This window comes from Homo sapiens, chromosome 10 (assembly GCF_000001405.40).
Source record: "Homo sapiens chromosome 10, GRCh38.p14 Primary Assembly".
In the NCBI taxonomy this organism is placed as follows: Eukaryota; Metazoa; Chordata; class Mammalia; order Primates; family Hominidae; genus Homo; species Homo sapiens.
The window spans coordinates 122,145,321-122,173,219 of record NC_000010.11 but is presented as its reverse complement, the minus strand read 5'-3'; the positions used below and the strand labels follow the sequence as shown (position 1 = coordinate 122,173,219).

Below are 27,899 nucleotides of genomic sequence, written 5' to 3'. Positions count from 1 at the left end.
CCAAAAACTCTGATGCTTTGGACTTTTTGGGGTTGTCTGGGGTGAGGAGGGCACATTTCTCTAAAGCCATCCTAGCAATTACCCCTGTAGGAATCTCACCTGTCAGGCACAGGCGATATATGCCCTCTTTTCTCTAAGTCAGTTTGAATTGGTTTTTTTCTACTTGCAACCAAAGGTACCCAAGCTGAGGCCACAGGCAAAACCTGTCTGAGGATGTTCTGGGTACAGCTCTGCCCAGAAACACCTCTTTAGGCCCCAGGCTCCTGGTCACAAGCCTTCGCCTGCTCACACAAACTCCGCTAGTCACAGGTTTGGGGGTCCAAACTCAGCGCTCTCACACACAGGCCAGAATGCCAAAGGGACAGCCTGCCCCTCACCCCCTGCCCTCCCCGTCTGCTCTTGCTCACCCTCTGTGCACTCCTGGCTCTTCCTCCTCCCACAAGAGCCTGGTGCTGTGAGGGATGCTCCTCACTCCCCCAGCAGCCCTGCGCCCCAGGACGGCGTCTTAGGGCCATTCATGAAAGGCAATGGGCAGTCACAGGATCCTCTTCTGAAAGAGGCTCAGCTGGGAAGTTCCATGCAGGATCTAAATGTGCGCAGATGTTTTCCCTAAAGTAAAGTTAATAAAGCCAACCTCTCCCGCCTTCTTCCTGGAGGGAAAATACTTCCAGACCACTGTAGGCGCCTCCCTTTAACGCAGAACAATGAACAATGTGCAGCTTCCACCAGGGGCCTGGATAAGTGGCACAGAGGAGTCACCGTGAGAGGCTGGAGCCCCTTGGAATGTGGGCTGCTTCTCAAGTACAGAGACCCAGATCTGAGCCCCAGGAAGGGTGGTGCTGGCACAGGACTGCTGCAGCAAACTCAGCTCCTCCTGGGTGGGCAGCAACAACAGGCTGTGCCCTCCCCTGCCTGATTCTGTCACCCAGCAGTAGACGGAAAGCAGCCCAGGTATTTTCTAAATGTCAAGCTTCAACCTAGACCAATAGCCTGCTGTAACCACGAGTCAAAACATAAAATTAAGGCCCCAGGAGTCATGGGTCATATCCCTGCAGCCTTGAGTACAATCTAGCTCATCTCTAGGGCTCCACATTTAGGCTTGGATGGTTTTAACTCAGGCCAGTCTCAACAGGTGTCAGGTACCGAGAGCCCACATGTTTGTCCAACCACCTCTGGGCTTGCTGGTCCTCAGGAGGGGTCAGCTTTCTCTGAAGATGGCTACAGCTATTTTCCACTTGGGCTGAACACAGTAAACACCCACCTTCCTTGGAACTGACCTCTAGAACATCCCCAAGGAGATGTATGGAGACAGAAAAGAAAAAAATACTTCAGAGCAAAGACACAAGGCTAATAAGACTCATGGAAGGGCCTGGCCAAGGGCCCAAGGAGGCTCATTTTTATTCCCAAATTAACCATCCATTGCATTTCCTCATGGGACAAAGAATTTGCAATCTAAGCTGTTTCACCACGTGGGAAGAGGCCTCTGATTTGAGTTTACCAAATGATACGTCCACCTACAAACATTTTCTTTTAGCACATTGAAAGTTAAAGGGAAAAGATTAAAATGACTACCTGACTTATTTTGAATAATGACTAGCCGGAAAGGCCTAAGTCATATTTCACAAATGAAGTGCTGGGGGATTTAAACCCTCTGTTATTTCTAAAATCCTGATGTTTCCAGTTCTAACATCCGCAGACTCTGGAACTCCACAAACACCTTGGAGTAAGTGAAGCTGGAATGTTGATGGTAAACTTGGCCCAGCAGCTGGCCTGAGTTCTCGGCCCCATAAGGACACAGAGCCACTGTGACTGCCTGTCAGTAGGGCTCCGGGAAACCCTGAGCAGAGGGGCCACCCCACCCTACCTCCACCCCCCTACCTCGGCCCCCACTGCTCTGCCCAGAGCCCAAGGCTTCTGTTTTAGGCATGAAGAGCTGCATCCATCCACTTCCATTTAAGGAGAAAGCAGACGAAAAGGCAAAAGCAGAAACTCAGAGGAAACAAGTCCTTCTGAATAAGGAGGCAGACAGGTACAAAACCTGCGGGGAGGCCCACCACCCCCACCGGATTTATTGCACAGCCATGGGGTGCACTGTACAAAAGACCCACCTTCCTTTTTAAAAGGCCCACTGCTTTCCTTTGTAAGGGCTAAGAATGCAGGAACAAAGGAAATCTATTGCTCACGGCCCCTAATCTACTGCTCACAGCCACACACCAGCCTCCTCACAAGCCCTGCAGTGCTTGCAGCAGACTCCTGGTCTACCCAGCCAGCAACTTCCTTGGGTGGAAGGAGATAAAGACAGGAAAAAAGAGACCAGCCAAGGGACGGAGCAGAAGATGCCCGCTGAGGGGAGTGGATGGAGTGTGCTAAGTCTCTGAGGCTGGACGGTGTTGTGTGTTCAAAGAACTGACAGGCGACCAGATCCTGGTGAACATCAGGCGAGGGGAGGAGCGGCGGGAGCCAGGTGGCAGGGCCTGGAGGCGCTAGCAAGGGATTTGGATTTTAGACTAAAAGCAATGGGAAGCAGATACAGGTTTTAACCATGGAAGTCCAATGACATGGACCGTTCTAGAAAGAAGAGAGGTGAGGGAAAAGTGAAGATAAGACTTGATTATCATGGTCAGGCACAGTGGCTCACGCCTGTGATCCCAGCACTTCGGGAGGCTGAGGCAGGCATACCATTTGAGGTCAGGAGTTCGAGACCAGCCTGGCCAACATGATGAAACCCCGTCTCTACTGAAAATACAAAATTAAAACCCCGTCTCTACTAAAAATACAAAAATTAGCTGGGCACAGTGGCGTGCACCTGTATTTCCAGCTACTTGGGAGGCTGAGGCAGGAGAATCGCTTGAACCCAGGAGACGGAGGCTGCAATGTGGCCCAGATCATGCCACTTCACTCCAGCCTGGGGGGCAGAGTGAGACTCCACCTCAAAAAAAAAAAAAAAAAAAAAAAAGACTTGATCATCAGGTTTCTGGTTTGAGCACCTGGGTGAATAAGGTCCCAGGTGTTGAGATGAGGAAGATGGGGGTGGGGCTGGGTTCGTTTGAATGCACATTTGTTTTTGTTTTAAGAGGAAGATGGTCATCAGAGTTCTACGTTGGACATGTTGAGCCTGAGCTATCCAGGAGAAATCCAAGAGGAGATATGAAGTAAACTATTGAATTAAGGCTGGGCACAGAGGCTCATGCCTGTAATCCTAGCATTTTGGGAGGCCAAGGCGGGAGAATCACTTGAGCCCAGGAGCTCAAGACCAGCTTGGGCAATATAGGGAGGCCCTGTCTTTACAAAAAATTTAAAAATTAGCCAGGCATGGTGGCGTGCACCCGTATTCCCAGCTACTCGGGAGGCTGAGGCAGGAGGATCACTTGAGCCTGGGAGATGAAGGCTGCAGTGAGCCATGATTGTGCCACTGTGCTCCAGTCTGGGTGACAGAGCGAGACCCTGTCTCAAAAAAAAGGAAAATTACAGTGCTCAGATGAGAGGGAAGGCTATAAATTGGGGCATTATCGGCACATATTATTTAAGTCCATGAGCATAAATGAGATGTCTTAGAGAGAGAGAACAGAAAACAAAGATTGCCCAGGCCAAAGGGGACATAAGTCTGAGCCCTGTACCAATCATCCGTATAACCAGGAATCAGCAAACTACAACCTGCAGTCTGTTTTTACAACTAAAACTCTACTGGAACATGGATTTACATGTTGTCTCTGGCTGCTTTTGAACTGTAACAGCAGAGATGCTGCACAAAGACGGAATGGCCCAGAAAGCCTAAAATATGTACTATGAGGTCTTTTACAGAAAGTTTACTGCTCCCTTAATTTAAACCATCCAGAGGACTCAGTTTCCTTATCTATAGAAGTCACCCACCTTGCAGGATTAAGGGATATAATTATTTCTATAATGAAAAAAACCTAGCACACAGACATGGTACACAAGAGTTTCTGCTGAATCTGAGCCTGCTCAGTGGGCTTTTCACTCCTGGCTTCAACACTGCAGCATCCAGCTGTTTCCATATTTGGCAATGGCGTTTAAACAGCACACACCTGCACTCCAGAAACAACTGCTAAAGTGAATTTGTAAATATAAACAGAAATGTCATCTGAGCTACTGCTTCCAACACAGGATAGATGTGTGTGAGCAGTTCTGACTCAGTCAGTTCTTTGTGGCCAACCAGTCTCCCCTAAACCCCTGTCCAACCTGAAACAAAGCATCAGTCCATGAACAATTGGTTTTCACAGAACAATTGCTTACAATGCCTAAGTCCTCACCATTAATCTTAAAGGGAAGAAACAGAATTGTTCAGCATCACTTGCTTACCCCAGAACACTGCCCTAGCTTGGGTAATCCATCTGCAAGAACAGCCAATCATGTTTCAGAATAAAGTTGTTTCCTAGGCAACCAAAAATCTAGCCACAGAAACAGGCTGTAGACAGTGGAAAGAAACACAGGGATGGGAATGGGAGGGTCGATGGAAGAGCAACCCAGAATCCACTGACCTTGATCTGATGTTCACCTGCAGTGCCACACTCAATCAGTATCCAAGTCCTAGCTGTTCACCCCATCCTCGACAGGGTACCCTGTCCCAGGGCCCTAGCATGGCATGGCCCCTTGGATGATTGGTAGCTACCTGGAGGACCTCGGAATATATTTGCCTTCAGCCCACCTAAGAGAAAGCCTCCAGGCAAGTCCCCCAGAGAAGATAGTGAAGGCCCAGGACCCTTATGAACACAGGCACAGGGCCACGCTGGTGATATCTAGGAATAATGGCAGGGAAAAATGCACCCAAGCTTCCTTTGGGAATCAATCTCCCCCTCCCACTCTACAGATAATGTTGCAGCTTATTCTATTTTAGGGGAGAAAAAACTCTATTGTGTCCAACAGTAATATCCAAAGTAAAATCTCCGTCCAGGAACTCAGAAACTGGCTGCAACTCACATTAGGAATGCTGTCGTTTAAGCTAAAGCATTTAGCCAAGGGCTGCCCCAAGAAACAAAGCCTTGAAAAAGATCTATGGCTGGGTGCGCTGGCTCATGCCTGTGATCCCAACACTTCGGGAGGCTGAAGCAGATGGCTCACTTGAGCCCAGGAGTTAGAGACCAGCCTGGGCCACATAGCAAGGCCCCTGTCTCTACAAAAAATTATTTAAAAAAAAAAAAAAAAAAAAAAGCTGGGCATGGTGATGTGTACCTATAGTCCCAGCTACTTGAGAGGATGAGGTAGGAAAATCCCTTGAGTCCGGAAGGTGGAGGCTGCAGTGAGCTGTGATCACACTGTTACATATGAGCCTGCGCAACAGAGTGAAACACTGTCTCAAAAAAAAAGAAAGAAAAAGAAAAAGATCTAATGAGAGCTAAAGAAAGAGTCCTGCTTAGAGCCCCAGCGACCGTTTCTGGCCTTCTGAGTGACTGAGAGGCTGGCAATTTCAGGCATAGGGCATTTCCACTTTTGCAGTTTTCTGGCACTTACGTCTTCTCAAGAGTCTTTGCAGATGTGGCATCTCACCTCTGAAAAACCCTGCGAGGCAGGAGGGGCAGGATCAGAGTCATCGGATTTTCTCTACAGCTCCCAAAGAAAAGGTCAGGAACCACATAAGGGAAGGGACCAGAACCCCACTTCTAACCACAGATGTGTGGAGAGCTCCAATCTCTCTACCTACTGCGGTGGTACCCGAGATCCTTCTTTTGCCTGGCCTCTCTCCAGCTACATCTGATCCCACCCACTTCTGAAATCTCAGCCAACTCATCAACTTCCCCGAACTAGCTCCCAATCCAGTTTTCTTGTCTGTCTTGGCCAATGCCACTTCTTTCTCTTAGTTACCAGGGTATGAAACTTCCATTTTGTACTTGCCACTGTCTCTTCTCTTCCCTCCCCCATCTCATCAATCACAGAGCCTGTTGCTTCCTCCTCCATCGCTTCTCTCCCATCCACCCTGGCCCCTCTACTTCGATCCACAGGTCTACAGAGTATGGGTTTCCATATTTGTGATTTGTTTTTTAGAGCCAAGGGCACGTGCTCACTTTGAGAGTAGGGCAACAGTCGGGGCAGGCCGACTTTGCCAACAGAACCACCGCTTTTGCTCTCTGATAATGGCCCCCTGGGTGGTTTTCAGTGGCCAGGGTGTGGGGATTTGGTGGAAGCTGAGGGAACCCCTGAAACGGGGGTCTCCAACTACATAAAGGACAAAGTACTTAATGCTGCCCCACTTAGCAGAAGCCACACCACATGGGGCTGCCACAGAATCAAGGGATGAACAGCAGGTCTGATCAATAGCTGCAGCCCACATTTACTCAAGTACTTCCTGTCCATTCCTGTGTCTCCTACCATCCATACTGAGAAATAAGTGTTTTCTGTGGGAGAATTCTCCCTCCCCTTGCTACTCATATTCTATTTAGAAACAAATGGTCACTATTGCTACAAGAACTTCTTTGCCAGATAGGAAAGGAGCAGTCAGAGAAGTGGCCAGCTGTTTCTCATGGACAGGATGGAGGGAAGACTGAACCAGCTCATGGCTTCTCAAATTTTGAGATGCCTACAAATCACCTGGGCATCTTTACAAGTCCCTGGATGAAATGGAGATTCTGATTCAGCTGGTCTGGGGTGAGGTCTGAGGCTCTGCGTTTCTAGCAAGCCCCTTTGGGAAGCTGATGCTGTCATGTGTGGCCGACCCTGGGAGTAGCAAGAGACTGGTCACCATTTGCACCTTCATCCTCAGGCTTCAATCCCCAGTCCCATGGGACTTCTGCTACTCCAATCTTGATGCCTGAGTTCTCAAAAGGGGAGATACAAAAGTCGCTCCCTCCCTAGCCCAATGCACTCCTGCATAGAATGAAGCTGTCAGCTGGAGCTACAAAAGCTGCCCAAAGGCACCCCAAACCTGCAATTGGAAGGAAAGAAATCTTAAAACTAAAAAATTTAAATTAAAAAAAAATCCTTCAGTCACTTCCAAATCCTCTATCTTTTGATTTCACTCTTACACCATGGCCCTCCTTAAGCCAGTCTTTCACAGGGAACCAGCAGAGAAAAAGGGAAACATTCACTCTAGATTCCGGTTGTCAGGAGCTGTCCCCCGCGGCAGGTGCGCACCCTGTGTTTGTCACCATCCCTGCAGCCCTGACGGCATCATCTTACAATGCAACCTCTTTCCTGCCATGGGCCCCACACTCTGTTGCTGTCTTGTGTATTATTCACGTGCATGCATTTTTAGCTGCATGGAAATACTACCAAGAAAGACCTGTGCCTGGGCAGAAAAGAGGCACTCTCCGAATATATATTTTTAAAACCTCTAGACTGGGAAAGAGCACATCTGCACTAGAAAAATAAGCCCCAGTTATTCAGAGAGCAGAGACGGGTTTTGAAGAGGACAGATGCTAGCAATGGCACTGGCCCCAAATATTTCCTCTCTCTCCATTTTTTTAGAACAAAAATGTTACGGGATGGAGGGTGGGATTTTGTGAATGAGTGAATATACTATCGTAAAGATCTATATTTAGAGACATTTCAGAGGCAGCAGTTCTAGGGAGAGAAGCCTCAGGCGGGGGCATATGGACCAACTCAACTGTGAAAATATTTGATAAACAGCTTCCATCACAATGTGGCCATTCAGCCTGAAATTTTATTTAAACACCACTATCCCAGTGGGCAGAACCTTAAGGGACCTTATCCAAAAAGGCACAGCTACCTAACAGAAGCTATCTAAACTCGGCCCTCAGCTGACGGAACACTGATCATTTATTAACTCAGCTGAAAAAGAGGGCGGGGACGTTAGGGACCGGCGAGCTGAATTTCCAATGACTGAGGAGCACATTTTCCCAAACGTACAGTCACATTGTCCTTTCTGTTTCCTAAGCTCTTCACTAGATAGGTCTGAGCCGTGAGAGTTGGCCAGTGCCTGTCACTGATTAACTCAATTCCACTATAGGGACTTGCAAAAAATAGGTTAAAGTGGTTCTTTTCTGCCTAGACTCGAGTTGTATTTCCATGCACCTAGCAACACTACACGTGCATGAGAAACAAGGCAGGCACAGCACAAGGATCATAACATTTAAAAAGAAAATCCTCAAACGCGATGTGCCTCCATTGTAAGACGATGCTTTCTCAAGCTACAGGGGTGAAGACAAATGATGGGTGCACACCTGCTCGGAAGAATGACTCCCTGCTAAAGAGCTGGAGCCCAGAAAACCACGAGGCTCAGCCTAGCATTACATCACTACGCCGAGCCAGCTCCTCACTGAAGCCCAGGGGTCGAGGGACCAGTGAGGAAGTACCCCCCGGGGCCCCATCCCTCCTACAACACACAGATCAATCCCCACCATCTTTTAATCTACACATCCATGACTCTTAAGAACCCACTTTACTACCCCTACCCCCAAGTCCCCAGAAAATACTCTTCTCTGAAACATAGTCTTCTCTCTGGAAAAGTGGGGGCAGGTGAGGCTGGGAGGTCCACTTTGGATACAAGCCTGAGTTGCTGAAATGCGACCCGGCCGGCAGACCCATTCAATACGCCCCATCGTCCAAACATGCCTGGGTAGGTAATGGAGACGACCATAACAGAAACGTGAATTCTAATAAACACTCGGCCAGGATAAAGGCCACTTCTGAGCACGTTAGCTCTGTGGTTGAGAGAAAAGATCGGATTCCTGGATCGATGCACAGTCAAGCACTGCCTCCACCAATGACAGGACGGTTCGGCCCTTTACTAATAATAGCAAGCGGCCTTGTCCTCGAGTGTTCACCAGAGTATGTGGATGATGCTTAGGCTAACTAGACGGAACGTCCACCAGAGCGCACCACGCCATCTGCCCAGCCACAAGCGCAGCTGCCCGGAAACTGGGCTGTCGCCCCGGGCACGGAGCTGCCACGCTCATGGGTTCTTCCTAGGAGGAGGCAGTCGCTGATGCCTGGCTGTTCCCTTGCAGGAAATACCACTGTGCCGGGGGTGCAGAGGAAAGATGCTGACGGCAGGAGAAGCCCCCCAGCCATGCACCCACTGCTGAGCGACCAAAACTGAATTCCAGGGAATCGTTTCTGCCCACAGCAGTAACTTGGGGCTACCAGATGCTCCTCCCAGAGCAGCCCCAGGTAAAGCTTTCCAAGGCTGCGAAGAACCCCAGGCCAGCCTGGGCTCCAGGTTGCACAGGCATTAGGAAAGGCGACACTAACAAAGCCCGGGCATCCTCTCCTCCTCCCCGGGAGACTCGGGGCGGCCCGGGCGGAGCACTTACATTGCCTCGGAAGCCTCCAGGTTCAGGTCGCTGGCTGGGGCTGGCTGCAGGGACTGCGACCCTCCCATCCTCGCTGTGCCCTGGCGTGCAAGCTAGCCGCGAGCGGGGCCAGCGTCCTGGCGCGATTCCTGCAGCCGGGAGCCGGGGCGAGCCGGCCGGCGGCCGGGGTTGCTGCACTGCAGAGGGGAGCAGCTGCGGGCATCCGTGGCGGCGGGAGCGGCGGCAGGGAGCTGCGACTCGCGGCCCGAGCCGGGGGCCGGGGGGCGAGCGCCGCGTATGTGTGCGCGCGAGTGTGGCCGGCGCGCGCCCGAGTGTGGCCGGCGTGCGCGGCTCTGCCCGGGGCGTGCGGGTATGAGCGTGAGCGCCGGTGTGGTCCGAAAGGCTCTTCTCTTAAACCCCCCGGCAGCCGGCTCCTGTGTGTGACACGATGATGTCATCATCGCCGAGCAGCCCCAACGCCTGCATCTTCACAAAGCTCCATCGCGGGCTCCGGAAACGGGGCTGGGGGTGGGGAGGCGAAGACCCTCCCTCTGCCCCGGCCCCTCCCGCCTCGCCGGGACCGCCCGCATTGTGTAGCTTTGAAATGCAAACGAGCCGCGGCCCGGGAGCTGGGGCCCTAGAAAGGAGGGGCGTGGTGGTCGGGCGGGCTGACCACCGAGAGAGTAGGGGGCTCAGCCCTGTTGGCTCATCCCTCCAGGAAGGAGGAAATGGTCTCTCCCGGCCCAGGACTAAGGGGATGGCTGGAGGAACAGGTAAATAGGCTGCAGTGGGCAGCGGGCAGCGGGAGCGACGCTGGGAGAGACGTGCGCCCTTTTCCACCGCCGGCTTCTGCCTCCTTCAGGCCCCGGGTCCTGGAGGCAGCTGAAGTCTGTACCAGGGAGAGCTGCGGCACCTGGCTCTCCCCTCACAGCCAGCCCGGGGCTAGCCTCCAAGGACCTTTGCACCGCACAGTCTGAGGGCCTGGGGCAAGCTAGGGAGCAAAAGGTACTGGGCCTGCGAGCGGGCTGGGGCTGCAACACCATCTTTGGCCACCAAATGAGCTCCACAAAGCCAAGCCCTGTGCAAAGGCTCACCCTAAACAAGCAGAGGCGCGGCCAGCTGAGCCGCCCAAGGCAGGCCCCTAATGCAGCATGCGTGTACAGGGCAAAGGCAGTTCTCCGTGACATGCATCGGCTCAGCTCTGTGATTCTAAACACGGGCTGGGCCTGTAGGAATGTCCGTGACACCCCATCACCAAGCTCCCAGTGCCCAGTCAGCCCCATTCTGTAGCTGGCAGCATGTCACCCATCAGCAGCCAAATCCCTGTCCCTGGCCTATGGCAGGCTCAGAAACCCTCAAGACTTGAGATCCTGAGCCTCCTCACTGGAGGCTGCTGCAGAAAGAGTTCATCTCTGTATAGGTACAGGAGGTTTGGGGCACACCTGGGAACCCCACCATCCCCTCATGCTGTACATTCAACACAACCGCTTCCTGCGCTCCCAGCCCAGACTCACAACTGAATTCAAATGGAACCTCTGATGGGTAAGTGGAAGACTCTTCCACATTTCCCAGCTTGTCTTCACCCACAGGGCAGTGAGCCTAAAATGTATCTAAACTGTGGCCAAAAGCAAAAGAAAATAAAAACAAAATTGTTCAAAGCATTTTAAAATTGCCTCCAATACACTGTTTTCTAGCGACGTGGCCAAGGATGTTTGGATGGGCTCTTTTGATACTGACACTCGAGGTCACAGTAGTTCCAGAGCTTCACGGGGACTGACTTTCCACTGCTCTTATTCAGTATCAGTGTCAAACAGAATGCCAGAGGATCAACATCGTTTTCTGGGATGTAACAGCATGAAATTTCCCAGAAACACTGAGAAGGTTTACTTTTGCATTTATATGAAAATAGCTAATGATTATGTCAATCTTGCGGGGAAGGTGGCTGTCGGGGTGGTGTGACGAGGTGTGCTCTGGAAAGCACCTCCCGGGGAAGCCGTCACTCACTGTCAGCATTGGATGTCACTTGGTGGCAAGGATCCTGCAACCTGTTCATCCTGTCACCATTCTCAGCACCCTGGGGGTTTGTTTCTCTGTCAGAAAACAGACCTCTTCGGCTCCATATGCAGGTGAGGGCCCAAAGAAGCTTACCACGTGGAGCTGAAACATCTGTAAGCTCTAACCTGGGCTACTACTGTTTTGAAGAAAGTGGCCCTTTCCCTGGGCACCTAGGAACTGGCCTTCAGCCAAGCCTCGTACTCAGAAAATACATGAGGAAAAAAATGAGGAACCACAATTAGAACTCATCTGCCAACTTTTAAAAACATTTTTCAGATGAGGTGCAAAAGCACAAAGCCATCTAAACGTCCTTAGCCTTAATAGGTAAAGGTTCTGCTGCGATAACAAGATAGGGTTTGAAATGAGACTCGAGTTCAAATCCTGACTTCTCCCTCGTTAGCTGTGTGGCCTGAGCCGACTGTTTAACCATACTGAACCTTATTTCCTCAGCTGGCAAAAGAGGAAAAGCATCTATTTTGCAAGGGCATTGGAAAAAGTAAATTAAATACCATCTATGAATGCCCAGGACCAGGATTCTTATTTATAAGAAAAAATTTCCCCCCAAGTATAGTACCATAAAGGAAATTAAGGCAGCATTAAAGTGAAGTGCTTTTACGTAGAATCCCAACAACTGCAAAGTTATGATGTAGTGACAGGGCATATTACTTAGTGGGACAACACCATCTCACGGCTGTCAAAAACACAATCAAGAACCAGGAGAGGGGCTGGGCACCATGGCTCACATCTGTAATCCCAGCACTTGGGGTGGCCGAGGTGGGAGGATTGCTTGAGCCCAGGAGTTCAAGACCAGCCTGGGCAACATAGTGAGACCTTGTCTCTACAAAAAAATAAACAAAATTAGGTGGGTGTGGTGGTGCATAACTGTGGTCCCAGCTACTCAGGAGGCTGATGTGCTTGAGTCCAGCAAGTTGAGGCTGCAGTGAGCCATGATCGTGCCACTGCACTCCAGCCTGGGTGACAGAGCGAGACCCTGTCTCCAAAAAAAAGAACCAGGAGAGAAACAAATAGAATGTGGGCACCATTACAGTCGATACAACTAAAACCCATGTATGATTAGTTTGTGTAAATTATTTATGGAAGAGTCTCTCAGACCCTCATTGAAGACCTTTCCATGCTGACTTTACAAACAATTTAAAACAAAGCTGGTGATCTAGTAACTCGGCCTACAGAAAATGTAAAGCTGAAGAAAATAAGGAGGGAGAATGATAAAAGGGCTGTGCTATGGACTGAATGCTTGCGCCTCCCTCCCAAATTCATGTGTTGAAGCCCTAATCCCTAGTGGGATGGTATTTGGAGGTGGGGCTTTTGGGAGGTAATTAGAATTAGATTACATCATAAGGGTCCCCTCAAGATGAGATTATACCCGTATAAAAAGAGAAAAAGACACGAGACCCCCCCCACACACACACTTCTTCTCTGCTGTGTGAGGCAAGAAAGTGGCCATCTACAAGCCAGGAGGAGAGCCTTCATCAGGAACCCAACCATGCTAGCACCCTGCTCTCAGACTTCCAGCCTCCAGAACTGGAAGAAATCACTGTTTTCTATTTAAGCCATCCAGGGAACCCCACTACTCCTAAGCACGACCCTAATGAGACCCTGAACTCAAACAGCCCCTGGGGGCCTGTCTGTTAGACCACAGTCCACATATTCTAGGGGCCCGAAGGCAGGCTAAGCCCGCTTAGACAGGCTCCACTGCAAACCTTCCTACTGACGTCCCCAAAGACACCCTAGAAACCTGGATAAATCAAGGAATGCATCCATCATTTCTAAAAAGCAGTTCAACGTTTATTAATGCACCTATTATGTGCCTGGCCTATAAGTGGAAACCAGCTTATTCTCACATTACTTTGTGACACCTACCAGAAAGATCAGCAAACCTGACAAATCCCTGTAGCCAAAAGATAAACTGAAGCTATGTAGTGCAGCCTCTTCAGTCCCACAGAGGTTCAACGGACGGAGCCATGGTCAGAAACTGCAAGTAGTTTGAGACCCCTCTGACACCCCAAGAAAAACAAAGGTGAGTGGCTCCACCTTTGCCTCTGGCCTCAGGGAGTCTCCAGTTGCCATAGCAGCAAGACTCTCCAAACACCACCAATGGACCCCGAGCTGCTAATTAGCCCGAGCACATACACTCAGGAAAGTAGGTCAGATCACAGAGAAACCCATCTGGAGGAGCTAAGAATGTAAACACAGATGGAGAACAGGGCTCCTCCAAGCCCTGGGTCTTCACCACCACCCACTATACCATGGTGGCGAGCAGAGGGAGGCTGGACAAAACCCCAGCGACTTCTCTTCAGGGAGCCAAGCTTGAGACCAGCTCTGGGCTGTCTCTGAGAGTGTTATCTTGTTACTCCACCTGAGGCCCCAGGCATCCAGCCCCGTGTCACACAACTCTGCACCCAGCAGTGCCTGAACGCCCGAGCCCTGCACTGAGCTAGGCATGCTCACTGCCTTGCCGAAAATTCGAAGAGCTGGGAAGCTGTGTGGCCTGAATGCAGCACCCACATGTCAACAGGAGCAGGGACATGTGAGCAGGGACAGAACCTGGGCTCAGGCGAGAATGGTGCGGTGCCGGGCTTTCTCCACCCAGGTGTCACAGTCCCAGGATGGATGCTCTTTCCATGTGTCCCCAAAGGACACACTGCCGCATCACTCAGTCTTGTTCCAAAAGTCGTCCACTGCCTTTGCAAAAAAGTCCCAATCCGACCTCCTGGCTTTGATCCAGCATTGGAGCACGGCCAGGTCCTCACCGTGGCCTCACTGCTGAGGAGCTGCCCCCTCCTCAACTTCTGCATCTCTCTCAATTCCTCCAGAAAATCACATCCCAGCTCCCCCAGCTCCCTGGAGGGGTCTGCTCCCTGCCAGCCCCCAGACTTCTTTCTTCCCATCCCCTCGGCTGCCTGCATATTGATGCCTTGGCGCTTTCTTGCCTTGTTAAGAGTCTCAGGTGTGTCTGTGTCTGGTGTCTCCACTCTCCAGCCATGCAGGGTGCCCCAAGCACAGCCAGAGCCCCATAAACACATGCCGCACGAGACCTCAGAGGATGGGGAGAAGGTCCTGGCAAAACTCTGTCTTATGATGAATAGAGAAAAGGCAGAAGATGGTTGTGTTCGTTTATTTGCAGCGGTACAGATATTCTGTTAACCTCTTACATGCCAACATTAAATCTCACCTGCTCACCTCTGGGAGTCTAAGTGGTTTCTTGGGCTTAAGTACAAGCTTCGGTGAAGCCCCATCTTTTCCAGAAGGTTCTCTTGTTCTCTCCTTGCAAAGGGCTGATCTATTTACGGCATCTCTTTCTACCACCTTCACCATATTTACACCTGGAACCTTTCAAAGTTCTTCACAAGCAAGGACAGCTCTACAGGTGACTCTTCAGCAGGAAAAACCCTGTTGATTCAGTTATGACAGAGGTGGAAGACTGGGAATTTTACTATTAGACCCAGGGAGGTAACCCAAATGTCCTAGAAAAGAAGTCAGTAAACACAGATGAGACTGACTTTTGTTTTTTGGGTTTTCTTTTTTGTTTTTGTTTTTTTTTTTGAGATGGAGTCTCGCTCTCGCTCTGTGGCCCAGGCTGGAGTGCAGTGGCACGATCTCAGCTCACTGCAACCTCTGCCTCCTGGGTTCAAGCAATTCTCCTCCCTCAGCCTCCCGAGTAGCTGGGACCACAGGTGCACGCCACCACGCCCAGCTAATTTTTGTATTTTTTAGTAGAGATGGGGTTTCACCATGCTGCCCAGGCTGGTCTTGAACTCCCAGCCTCAAGTGATCCGCCTGCCTTGGCCTCCCAAAGTGCTGGAATTACAAGTGTGAGCCACCTGTAATCTCACAGCCAGTCGAGACTCACTTTTATTTTCAAATTAAGAATTCAGAATATATTTGTAATCTTTGATACCTATAGGAGGGAAGGAGGGAAGGAGGGAGGAAGGCCAGTCCCCAAAATCTCAGGGCTATACAAAAGTTGTTAGCATTAAGAATTCTCATCACATATGAAAAAAAAAATCAGTAACACACATACCACGTTCGAAAAGACTGAATATGATCCTCAAAATCTTTCTTTCTTTACCACATAAATTCAGCTTTCTTTTTTTTTTAAACACACCATTGCTGGCTTGATATTTCAGCTCTTTTGAGACGGAAATGGTAGGAGACGCTCATGAGGTAGCTTTTGAGAGAATATACTCTACCTAATGTCAAAAAGGATTTAAGCCCACAATTCAAGAGAACAAAGAAAATACAGGAAGAAAAGGTGGCTAAAAGCCAGAGGGAGTGAGGTAAGCGTGGAAGTGCTGACCTAAGCCCTTGCTGGAGTGGGGTACAAGTCTGGCTCTAAGTTTCCCAACAGCCAAAGCAAAAAGGGCAACCACTATGATCAGTTACATGATTCATAAAATCCGACAGGTTAAAAAAAAAAAAAATCCCATGGATGAGCAGCTTCTGTTGTGACTTTCTGAACACGCATTCTCCCACAAGCCCTTCACCAGGTGACTGTATGTATATGGTGGCTGATGCCTTCAACAATATCCTCCCACCAATACAATATTCTTCCATATAGCTATGTCAGCAAGCACGGCAGGGGCTCCTCAGCTCTCCTGGCAATCAACAAAATCCTAAAACTACAAAGTTCCCAGGGATGCATTTCTAGTTCCCCCATCCTGCACTAAGGGTCCCCACCGCTCAAGTTTCCATGGTAACAAGGTTACATAAGAGAACACAAAGGGCAGCATTAGGACAATGTCATCAACAAAGCAACCATGTATAGACTTGATCCTCCCTCGTATGCTCCTCCTGTCTTCACAAGTCTATTTTACTGTATTTTATTTGAGACAGGGTCTCACTCTGTCACCCAGGCTGGAGAGCGATGGCACAATCTCATCTCACTGCAGCCTCGACCTCCTGGGCTCAAGTGATCCTCCCGCCTTAGTCTCCTGATTAGCTGGGACCACAGACGTGTGCCACCATGCCTAGCTAATTTTTTCTATTTTTTGTAGAGATGTGGTCTCACTATGTTGCCTAAGCTGGTCTCGAACTCCTGGGCTCAAGTGATCCTCCCAAAGTGCTGGGACTACAGACGTGAGACACTGTGCCCAGTCATGTCCTCACAAGTCTAGTCTTTGGCAGTCTCTTGCTGATTGAAGGAGCAAATATACAGTGCCAAAAACCAGAAAGCAAAACTGCAAACCTGGAAGAAGGAGGAGGATGTCATGGAGTCAATTAAAGTGACACCAGAGAATTGCTCAAAACCTACCCCAAAGCTGTAAGAAAGGGCAGCTGGCACAGTCAGACCTGTGAGCAACTGAAGAAGAGAAACTCAGCCAGGATGAGGACAGAAGGTGGCTTCAAAGAGAGAACGTGAAGATGAAAGAACTGAGAGAAGCCCTCAGAACTGTTTATGAAAGAGTGACCCTGTTGGCCAGGCATGGTGGCTCATGCCTGTAATCCCAGCACTTTGGGAGGCCAAGATGGGCGGATCACAAGGTCAGGAGATCGAGACCATCCTGGCTAACACGGTGAAACCTCGTCTCTACTAAAAATACAAAAAAATTAGCCGGGCATGGTGGCGAGTGCCTGTTGTCCCAGTTACTCGGGAGGCAGAGACAGGAGAATGGTGTGAACCCGGGAAGCGGAGCTTGCAGTGAGCCGAAGTCACGCCACTGCACTCCAGCCTGTGTGACAGAGCAAGACTCTGTCTCAAAAAAAAAAAAAAGTCTACATTTTGTTAAATCTAAAATAAAATCATTTTCATAATTTTTCATTTCTTTTCAGAGTGAAGTCTTAAAAACGTTTTTTGCACCATTGGCCAGGCACGGTGGCTCACACCTGTAATCCCAGGACTTTGGGAGGCCGAGGCAGGCGGATCACAAGGTCAGGAGATCAAGACCATCCTGGCTAACACGGTGAAACCTCGTCTCTACTAAAAATACAAAAAATTAGCCGGGCGTGGTGGCGGGCGCCTGTAGTCCCAGCTACTCGCGAGGCTGAGGCAGGAGAATGGTGTGAGCCCGGGAGGCGGAGATTGCAGTGAGCCAAGATTGCGCCACTGCACTCCAGCCTGGGCGACAGAGTGAGACTCAGTCTCAAAAAAAAAAAAAAAAAAAAAATTTTCCCACTATTAACCATAAAACTTTGATTTATTAAGTGGACTCATTTTAAGTGGCCTTTCTCAGATAACAATTTCCTTCGGATAACCCAGATGTCCTTCCTGTAACTACCTTTATAAACTGTGTTTAAGATCATAGGTGAAAATCGAGAGGGTGGCCCACAGCAGACACGTGGCCAAATAAAATCTCAGTCTCCAAAGTTCAGGCTCCTACTTATAAATAAAGCCCAGTTCCATTCTAAACCTGGGAAGAAAGAGCCAACACCCTCACCTAAGCCAGGTGACTGTATCTGTCTAGGATCAAAAACATAACCAATGTTATCCATCTTTCTTCTCCGGAAACTATTTCCAAGAAGAACAGAAAATTCAGTAAGCACCACAAAAACGTTCTGGTTCTTGTTTAAAGAGGTTTGATGTCGCATTTGCTTTGAATGTTGATGTGTTAATCCACGGAGTTCCTCTAAGGTTTAAAGTCACTGGTTCTAGAGGCTACTTTGTACTAGGAATAAAAGGCCTTTTAAGGAAAACATTTGGGTGTAAACAGAGATGGCGTCTCCCAGCTGCCAAAATCAACAGCAAAGCTGGTTTCTGAGGCCGGACTGGAGAGGCAGGTTGAGAAGGGCGGATCTGCGCCTCTGTGGTGGGAGGGGCTCCCCTCAGTGGCCCGGTGGTGGAGATGCTTCCGAGACGAAAGCACAGAAAGCAAATGCAGAACTTCCCTGCCTCTCCGTCCTTCCCTCATTTTGAACAGAGACAGCAGCTACCTGTGACTGCCCTGGGGTGAATGTGCAGCATCTGGGGTAAATTTCTTCCCACGCCTGCCCGCAGCAGTCGAGACAGAAGCTGGCACAGGGCTGCCCTTCTTGTGAGCCAGGCAGCAAAAACCAGGCGCTGAGGCTCAGAACTGCTGACTCAAGCCTCCATGAAGGAACAGAAATCCAGAAAGCCGGGCCAGAAATAGCATCCGTGAGCATCTATTGATAGCATAAAGTCCGTGGGCAGAGTAAGTGAATGAGCGTGTCAGCGTGGGTGGGTGCGCGCCTGCATGCGTGTTTGCAAGTCCTAAAAATATTTCCCTCTTTCCATAACCAGCCGAGAGGCCCTGTCTGTATAATTCCCTCTACACCCTGCCTAACTGTGGCCAGCTGCAATTAATATACAATTGTGTCTGAGGATAAGAGATTAGTTTTCCTAAATTCTCAGATCTTCAGCAGTTGATGTGTACATGGGAAGAAAATCTTCCCGTGACAACAGACTGACCAAATTCCTGCTTCATCTTTGCTGAGCTTAAGGAATCGTTGTGAGAGAGAGCTGGACACAGGCATGACAAGGTTTCCTAACAGCCTGCAGAGGCTATTAGGCATCAGTTTGGCAAAAACTAAATGCATGGCATATTTACATATTTTTCTGCGTATCTTTAAACTATTACTCCAGGAAGACATGAAGGATTGCTACTTTGCATAAGCATTTCCCCTGTGCAGTGACTGCCTGCCTCGGAATCTACCTGTGCCTACGATCTTAAGACCAGTTTATACACACACCCATGCCCCAGTATGGGACGGCTCCTTTGTCCGAGCAGCAGCAAGTTTGGCTCCAAGAGGGAGCCTGGCCCGGCATCAGGCCCTTGGAAGCCCTCAATAACTATGAGCATATGAATGGAGAAATGGGTAGACAGAGCTGTACTTGCGGACACAGACGAGAAAGGCAGACATCCAAACTGTTTCCAGCTGAGGCCAGGGCTGAAGGCAACTCAAGGAGGTCCTCCCTAGGACGAGCCCTTCCAGGGCTGCAAAGAGACCCCAGGTACCACATGCAGAGCCCAGAGCCGGTCCCCAGTCTCCCTGACCTCAACAATCTCCCTAGTGGCAGATCTTGTTTATTTTTGTGATTGGGGGCCCGGAGGGAGGAAGACAGGTTGGTTGCTCAGCAGTAAGGTTTGAATTAAACTCTCTTCCTCAGACACCTAAGTCAAAAAGATGAATAGAAAGCAAGGGACATTTTTCACTCACTGGCATCCTTAAGCTGACCCTGAGAAGTTATTAGTCCTCTGTGCTTCCGTTTTCTCATCTGTGCAATGAAAATAATAACAGTTCCTCTTCCATAACATCGAGGGTGCAAGGTTTAAATGAGATAATATGTGAAAAAGCCCGAGGCACTGCAGTGCAAGGCATACAGCAAGTGCTCAATACATGTTTAGCTGTGGCTGCTGCTGTGGCTGTTTTGTGAAAAAACAAGAAATCACTTTGGCCTGAGGAGGACTTGGTGTCCCTGCTTCACTGCCTCTCACAACACCTCTGGGACTCGAAACCCGAGGTCTGCAATCAGGCAGCAGAGTTAGAAGCTGGAAGGCTTCCTGGAGGAGTCCACAGATATGAGATGACCCAACCCAAATGGTTCCCACCACAGCTTTGGCCTCAGAGCTTGGGGCCTCGGCCAGTGTTCTGACTTTGCTGGGCTTCAGTTGTCCCATCTATAAAATGGGCACAACAAAAATATCTCCCTGACAGGACTGTTATGCACATTAAGTGAGATGAAATACATATCGGGCCAGGCGCTATGGCTTATGCCTATAATCCCAGCACTTTGGGAGGCGAGAGGATCACCTGATGTCAGGAGTTTGAGACCAGCCAGGCCAACATGGTGAAACTCTGTCTTTACTAAAAATACAAAACTTAGCCGGGCGTGGTGACCTATGCCTGTAATCCCATCTACTCAAGATGCTGAGGCAGGACAATTGCCTGAACCTGGGAGGCGGAGGCTGCAGTGAGCCGAGATCACACCACTGCACTGCAGCCTGGGAGACAGAGCAAGTGAGACTCCGTCTCAAAAAAAAAAGAAAGAAAGAAATATATATCAAAAGCATTGCTCTCAGTGCCTGGTACATAGAAAGTACTCAGTAAAGGCCAGATGTTATCACAAGAGGAAGAAAACTAGAGCCACTCTGTGATGCTCCAGGGAGAACCTGAAACCTAATCCCAGTCAGAGCCTATTATGTTGCTCTCCACCCTTTTCTCCACAAGGTCCCAGTTCCCACCCTGAGTCCTGCCAAACAGTGCTGCAACAGTCAGCGTTCTGGCCACAGAGAGTGAGGATGCAGGATGGCTCGGCCCATTTCCCCAACTACGTCAGTCTGGACAGATGTCTCAGGCTGTGTTGGCAGAGGCACTGCTGGTACCACGTGCCAACCTCGGGACAAGCTGCCTCCTCTTGGAAATGAAGCAGGGACGATGCACCAGGGAATCATGTCATCAAGTCAGCCGTGTCAACACGCGTTTATGGAATGGAATGGAATAGAGTATCACTGCAGCCCACCAAGTAAGGGAAGGTCCGTGCCAATCGTGGACACATATGGGGTTAGTACATGTGTACTGGCCACAATGTTAAGCTTCTCCCTGTGGTTTGAGCAGAGCCGCTCTGGCCAGACTGCAGGTCCTCCGACCTGGGAGACTTCCCCCTTTCATTTGTGTTTGCTTATTTCTTTTTGTTGTTGTTGTTGGATCTTCCATCCCTCTTTAAGAAATCATTCTGATTTTATTCATTGGCTTTCAGCTCCATTATCTAAACCCAAGAAAGGCAGGCAGGACCCTGTAATTCTTTCTGCAAAGCCAGGAAATGATGCTCAGCAAGACGGTATTTAGACAGAGATGGGAGCAGGGACACCAAGGTGGGGCACAAGGTGGGCAAGTCATCCTCAAAGAGCCACCATCCTTTGCCTCTTAGCCCAGGAGAACACTCCAAGGTCTCCATGTTTGGTGGAGCCACATGGGGAATTATACCCTTCTGGCCCTGGGCCCCAGCCTTGGGCAGTAAGGGGAGGAAATGCTGGTGCCAAGCCCCAGGCCCTGGGCAACTTCTCCCAGCGAGCCCCTGCCCAGAGTCACAGTCCAGCCTGGGAGTAGTCACCTCCGCAGTGTCACCCTCAGACATACTGTGGCCCACGTTGCAGGGTCACCACTGTATCCCAGCACCTGCCTTCAGCCTTGCACAGAGCAAATGCTCAATCAACGTTGGTGAATGGATGAATGCAAGGCACAAAGACAGACCCAGGTCCCCTCCATCCCCACGGCCACTGCTTTAGTTCAGGCCACCACTGTCTCCCACTTGGACCACAGGAACAACTTCCACATGGCCCTCTGACCTCTGGCCTCTCCTCCACCCACCCTCCTCCTCGCCACCAGAGATATTTCCCCAAACTAAATTCCATCCTGACTCTCCCCTGCTTGAAAAGAGAAGACATGTTTCTTTGCACTTCTTTGGCACCAGCAAACTCCCCAGTCTGGCTGCAGGCCCCTCTAAATCTGAGGACCATGGCCACCTTGGCTGCTCACCCTGCTGCTCTGTCTGAGACCGCCGTACCTCCCTCTAGTCCCTCCAGTTCCTCTCTGACCTGCTGCCTGAATCTGCTGGGCCTCGCCACACCCCAAGCTTTGGCACATTTGGTTCCTCTTCCCTGAAGCACTTTTGCCCTTCTTTACCCTCAGCAAACACCTAGCCATGCTGCAAAACTCAGTGGTGATGCCGCCTCCTCTGGGAAGCCTTCCCAACTTCTCCAGGCAGAGTCAGGTGCTCCCTTCTCTTGAGTCTTTTGTTCTCAGCTCTATTGGAGAGTTTATCAGGTTGTACTATGTTAAGTTTATCATGTTGTATTTTTCTGTTTCCAGAACAGCTGTCTCTGTCTGCCTCCTTTTCCCCATCACTGCTGGGAGTTGGAGTGGGGGGAATGTGAATTCAATGCCTCCTACTTGTCAAACACTGAGCTACATTCTTCATGTACATTTACTACTCACAATAACCCCCAAGAGGTGGGTACTACTAGCCCTATCTTAAAGATGGGTAAACCAAGGCTCAGAGTAGTCAAGTAACTCATGCCATGTCACACAGCTGGTAAATAGGCCTGTCTTTCCAACTTCATGCTCCTTCCCCTGCGCCACCTTCCGAATAGTCCGTGGCATAGAATCAACCGGGATGTATCTGCCGAGAGGCTGGCTGGCAGGATCAAAAAATGCAAACAAAGCAGAAGAAAGGACCCAGGAACGCTGCATGACTCCACCTAGACTCCAGCGCTCAGCAGGTCCTTCTCCTGACAGCGAAGTATTAAAGAAACTGGCTCATCAACACGGCGAGGCACTCGGGCATGGTGGGGTCCTGAGCCGCACATGCTCGTACCATATCCCATCCTACCCCACCTCCCTGGGCCCTGCCTCCCTTGGTTTGGGGGTCTATTTCTCCACCACCTTTGGGGCACTCTGTGACCAGCCGTCTCCTGGCCACCCCTCTTTCTGCACCTCCACTGGGTCTGAGGGCTGGAGAGCACGCATTTGGCTTGGAAGGAACGCAGCCTCCCGCAGGGCAAGCACCTAAAACCATCAAGTGGAAGCCGAGGGCCGTCCCTGGGCAGCCGTGCTCGGGGAGGAGGGTGGGCTCCTGGCCTCAGCTGCCCCTATTCAGGGCAAGAAGGGCCCCCACACTGCCCTGGAACCTTCCACCCACCAGTGCTGTGCTGAGCACGTCCAGCCACGCCCTCACAGATGCCTGCCCATATGTTCCTCCCTGAGCCCCATTTCAGGGCGGGATCCCCTTCCCAGCTGCTCTAGGGGCCGTGGGACTGCCGCCCAGATGGCGTCACAAGCTGAAGCTTTGCAGCTTCTCCCAGCTGTGCCCCCAGAGTAGGGCCAGGGAGCCCCGCTGCTGCCGGCTCTCCTTCCCCTCCCCTCCCAGAAGGAGGAAAAGAACTGCAGACCTGGGCCCACGGAACTGAGGGAGCCACCATCTAACTGACGCCCTCTGCTCCTGCTCCTCAGGCTGAAGCCAGCGGGACAGCCCAGCACCCACTCCGCGGCAGCTCACATTTCGGAGACTGAGCGGGAACCAGGGGACCCATCAATGCCTCCGCGCGTCTCACCGGCCGGTGACGTGGCTCAGCGTAGTTATGCTCAGTCTGCCCCGGACCCAGTGGGCCTCAGAGGCAAGAGAACAATGGAAACTTGACCTGCGTAACCAAGGAATGATGCCACGAGAGCCCAGTTTGGTCAGCGCAGAGTCTAATCCCCGGAGACCCTCAGCCCAACAACCCAGCCCCTTTCCCTAGTGAGGCAGAGAGGCTCATCTGCACCCCGCCTACAAGGCAAAGTGCCGCGCTGGGGAGCGGACTGGCGAACTGGCTCCAGAGCGAAGATGCATCATGTTTTCCAAAGGGCTGACTTCTCTAACTCGGGTGGAGGGAATGGGGAGGTTTCTGCCCTTCCCCTCCTGCGCAGGAAAAACTCTGGAGTCTTGGAGAAGTGTTGACAGAGGGAAGGGAGCAATTTGGGGCAGCTGCCCAGGGCGGGTGGGGCCGGGAGTGTGGGGGCACCTCACAGGAAAGCCTGAAGAGCCAACGCCACAGCCGCCACAGTCTGCAGCTCAGGGTAGCATTTCTCAAGGGGTGTCTCCTGGGCCTCCTGCCCAGCACCGGGGATCCGGCTTCCTCCTCCCTGCAAGAAGCTCAGCTGCTTCTCCCATCCCGTTTCTCCCGCGTCTATCCAGACAGCCCTTGGCCAGGTTTCCAAGTCACCAATTCCTAGGGGACAGCTGTCCGCAGCAGGGAGTGAGAGGCCAACTCTGAACAGAGATGATGCTTGCGTGGGCTCACACCCACACCCACTCAGCTCATGTCCAACACACCAGGCTCTTTGCCACAAGCTCTCAGAGGTCAGCTGTGGCTGCCTTGGTGAGGTGAGGGCTTTCAGCTTGTATTCCTGGAAATTCTTATTATCAGACCCCTCGCCTGGCTTCAGCCTCGTACAGCTCTCCAAAGAGCTGACAGCTCTGGAAAAGTCAGGGTGACCTGCTGACCCCACAAAGCCTCAGGAGGGCTACGATGGAGGGGAAAGGAAGGCCCATCAGAAGCGTGGTGACTGCAGCAATGGTCTCCCTCCCAGGCAGGGATAGGAGGCAGAGACTTGAAGCTCTCTCTCCTTCCCAGAACCTCACTTTTCTCCCTCTCAAAGTCACATCTGTTCTCCCCAAGGCCTACGGCCTAATGATTACCAATGAGAGTGGGGGGAGGGGAGTGTGAAAACTCCTGGAGAAAAGCCATTTGCACTGGAAACGTGGGATTGTGTCATCGTTTCCACAGCAGCCGCAAGAAGCAGGAAGAGGCAGCAGGAAGTCACCCAGCATGTTTGCAAGAACAGAGCATCTGTCAATTCTGTAATAAGATGTGCCCTGGGCTTTCTTTGTCAATACACCAGGTCTCACTGCCTCGCTGCTCCCCTCCAAACCCAAAGAGAGAAGACAAAGCCACAGATATGGCGGGCACTGCAGCTGCCTGCGCATAACACCCAGAAGGCACGCTGGCTCCAACAGGCGATGCCTGGCTGGTGGCAGGAACCCATGGAAGACGTATTTCCAAAATCAAGAGTCCATCCAGGACCTCAAATTCTGGCCCAGGGCTGGGCATGGTGGCTCACGCCTGTAATCCCAGCACTTTGGGAGGCTGAGGCGGTCGGATCACCTGAGGTCAGGAGTTCGAGACCAGCCTGGTCGACATGGTGAAACCCCATCTCTACTAAAAATACAAAAATTAGCCAGGCATGGTGGCGGGTGCCTATAATCCCAGCTACTAGGGAGGCTGAGGCAGGAGAACTGCTTAAACCCGGGAGGCGGAAGTTGCAGTGAGAAGAGATCACGCCATTGCACTCCAGCCTGGGCTATGAGAGCGAAACTCTGCCTAAAAAAAAAAAAAAAAAAAAAAAATTCTGGCTCAGCCTGGGTGAATAACGACTTCCATTTCAGTGAAATCAAATGTTCAACCTTACATTTTCGAAACTTGCTTTGAAAACCTCCAGGAACTCATCCAAAGGGAAAAAACACGGTTGATTGGATCCCTGGATCCAGGCCATGGCCGCATGGTTGAAAGCAGCTGTGGAGAGAGTCGAGGTGGAGAGTGCACTGAAGGTGATGGAACCACAGCTGTCAGGGAGCCCCAGGAAATGGGGGCCTCAATCCTAAAACCACTCCTGTCTTGGCAGGCAGCTGGCCAGGTCTTTAACAATGCAGATCCGATCGTATCACTGTACTGCCTGGGGGCTTCTGGACACTCTTAAAAGAAAGCCCAAGGAGCCCATGACCAAAGCTGCTACAATTGGAGCAATGAAATAACGTAGTATTGGGTTATAACCCAAAGAATAAAATGAATATCCAGGAGTCCATGCAGATATAAATACATGATTGAATCAATTAATAAATGAAGGAGAACAGAAAAATCTCCTGTGCAGAAAAACTCTAAATAATTTCTGTAGATGTTCCACCCTAACAGAGGAGGAGCACAACTCTCCACCCCTTAAATGTGCACACAGTGACTTCCTTCCACAGACGACAGTACTGAAATGGGGGAAAAAAAGGAACTTGGCGGGGCGCAGTGGCTCATGCCTGTAATCCCAGCACTGTGAGAGGTCAAGGCGGACGGGTCACTTGAGGTCAGGAGTTTGAGACCAGCCTGGCCAACATGGTGAAACCTTGACTCCACTAAAAATACAAAAATTAGCCAGGCGTAGTGGCGGGAGCCTGTAATCCCAGCTACTCAGGAGGTTGAGGCAGGAGAATCGCTTGAGCTTCTGGGGTGGAGGTTGCAGTGAGTGGAGATGGCACCACTGCACTCCAGCCTGGGTGACAGAGTGAGACTCTGTCTCAAAAAAAAAAAGTAACTTTACAGTGGAGACAGTCAACAAACATGACCTCAGCCAAGCAACTGAGGTCAATGTCAGCAGTGATATGTCATGTCGATGGTATGTACCCTTGATAGGATGTGATGAAAATGACACTTGATCTCTGTTCTTCCTCCCAGAACCCACAGGCCCAGTCCAATCATGAGAAAAGCATCAGACAAATTCCAATAGTGGGGCATCCTACTAAATACCCAACCAGAACTCCTTAGAACTGTCAAGGTCATCAGAAACAAGACAAGTCTAAGAAGAAACAGCCACAGCCAAGAGGCACCTACAGAAACAAAATGGAAATGTGGTTTCCTGGATGGGATCCTGGAACAGAAAAAGGACATTAGGGAAAAACTAAGAAAACGTGAATCAACTATTGTATTAGTTCATTTTCTGTTGCTTATAGCAGAATACCTGAAACTAGATAACTTATAAAGAAAAGTAGTTGTTTTCTTACAGTTATGGAGTCTGAGAAGTCAAAGGTCAAGGGGCAGCATCTGGTGAGGGCCTTCTTGCTGGTGGGGACTCTGCAGAGTACAGAGGTGGTTCAGGGTATCCTATAACGAGGGGGCTGAGTAAGCTAGCTCGGGTCTTTCTTCCTCTTCTTATAAAGCCACCAGTCCCACTCCCATGATATCCCAGCAATCCATTAATTCATGAATGGATTAACCCATTCATGAGTGCAGAGCCACATAACCCAATCACCTCTTAAAGGCCTCACCTCTCAATACTGCCAGATTGGGGGTTAAGTTTCAGCATGAATTTTGGAGGCAACAAATACTCAAACCACAGCAACTATAGACTTTAGTTATTATAATAAAGATGTATCAATATATTGATAACTTTTTTTTTTTGAGATGGACCTCAGGGTCCATGCACATGCTGTTTCTCCCCAACAATATCTATTCTCTTCTGTATCTTCAGCAACCTCCGGCCCAGCCCACACATAAACCCACTCAGCCTAAGCTCTCAGTCGATTCCCTGGGAAGCCATCCTCAGCTACCCAGACTAAGTGAGGTTGTGGGTCGCATCCATCCAGGGTGCTGCACTTCTCCCCTAGTAACTCATTGCTCCATGTCTATCTGCCAGCACTGGATGCTCCTTGAGGGCAGGACGGTGCCTGTCTTCCAGACCTCTGTGTCCTGTCCCTAGCACAGTGATTGGCCCAGAGTAATCCCAAGTTCATGTTGCTGAATGGCTCAGATGTGTAAATGAATGAGATTCAGAAGCAACCCACACAGAGTGGGCTCCAGGGCTAAAGGTGAGATCACCCAGTGTGCCTTCTATGACAGGTTGAGAGCCGTGAGCCCATCTGACCTCAGGAAAGAAAGACATAGAGCAAATGGGTACCACTTGTGTCTGCTGGTGCCAGGAGGCACCAGAGATGCTCTCTGACCCTAACACTGCATCAGCAAAAGGTCTGAAGGTTGAAATTTTTATTTTAGATTTCATCAAAAATCTACTCTAGCCCTTGGATAAGTTCTTTTAAAAAAAATGAGGTATAACTTACATACCAAAAAATAGTAAAATTCACTCTTTTTAAGTATATAGTTCCACAAATTTTACAGAACATTTCCATCACCCCCCACAAAGATCTCTTCATGCTCATTTGTAGTCAATACAAATCCCAGCCCCCAGTGCCCACTGATCTGTTTTCCATTCCTTATTGTTTTGCCTTTCCCAGAATCTCATCTAGACTGAATCATGTAGAATGTAGTCTTTTGAGTCCAGTCTTTCTCACTTAGCCTAATGCATTTGCGATTCATCAATTTAGTTGCATGAATCAATAGCTTGTTCCTTTTTATGGGTGAGTAATAT

At 50.2% G+C, this 27,899-nt stretch overlaps 1 protein-coding gene and 1 long non-coding RNA gene across 56 annotated transcripts in view, besides 3 other annotated features; one reads left to right on the top strand and one right to left on the bottom strand.

Moving 5' to 3' along the window:
• Positions 1-27,899, bottom strand: part of TACC2 (transforming acidic coiled-coil containing protein 2) — a 265,380-nt gene that overhangs the window by 81,323 nt on the left and 156,158 nt on the right. For 5 of the 55 annotated variants that reach the window (XM_024447765.2, XM_011539132.3, NM_001291878.2 and 2 more), the window contains exon 1: positions 9,228-9,590. The exons of the other annotated variants lie outside the window; for them this stretch is intronic. In XM_024447765.2, coding sequence (XP_024303533.1) covers positions 9,228-9,295 — 68 coding nt within the window. In that variant the 5' untranslated portion in view covers positions 9,296-9,590. Of the gene's footprint in view, positions 1-9,227; positions 9,591-27,899 lie in introns of those variants that run through there. 55 annotated transcript variants of the gene reach the window in all.
• Positions 509-1,082: an enhancer, noted in NCBI's record as "H3K4me1 hESC enhancer chr10:123931653-123932226 (GRCh37/hg19 assembly coordinates)". NCBI's record gives its function as "activates a minimal SCP1, AML or CMV promoter by ChIP-STARR-seq in naive H9 embryonic stem cells {active_cell/tissue: H9 hESC(naive)}" and the evidence as "EXISTENCE:reporter gene assay evidence [ECO:0000049][PMID:30033119]".
• Positions 17,037-26,916, top strand: LOC124902518 (uncharacterized). Its single transcript, XR_007062323.1, has 2 exons — positions 17,037-20,700; positions 26,213-26,916. It is a non-coding gene; the product is annotated as an uncharacterized LOC124902518 (long non-coding RNA).
• Positions 17,645-18,616: an enhancer, noted in NCBI's record as "H3K4me1 hESC enhancer chr10:123914119-123915090 (GRCh37/hg19 assembly coordinates)". NCBI's record gives its function as "activates a minimal SCP1, AML or CMV promoter by ChIP-STARR-seq in primed H9 embryonic stem cells {active_cell/tissue: H9 hESC(primed)}" and the evidence as "EXISTENCE:reporter gene assay evidence [ECO:0000049][PMID:30033119]".
• Positions 17,872-18,166: an enhancer, noted in NCBI's record as "tiled region #8473; K562 Activating non-DNase unmatched - State 21:Repr". NCBI's record gives its function as "activates a minimal TATA promoter and a strong SV40 promoter by Sharpr-MPRA in K562 cells {active_cell/tissue: K562}" and the evidence as "EXISTENCE:reporter gene assay evidence [ECO:0000049][PMID:27701403]".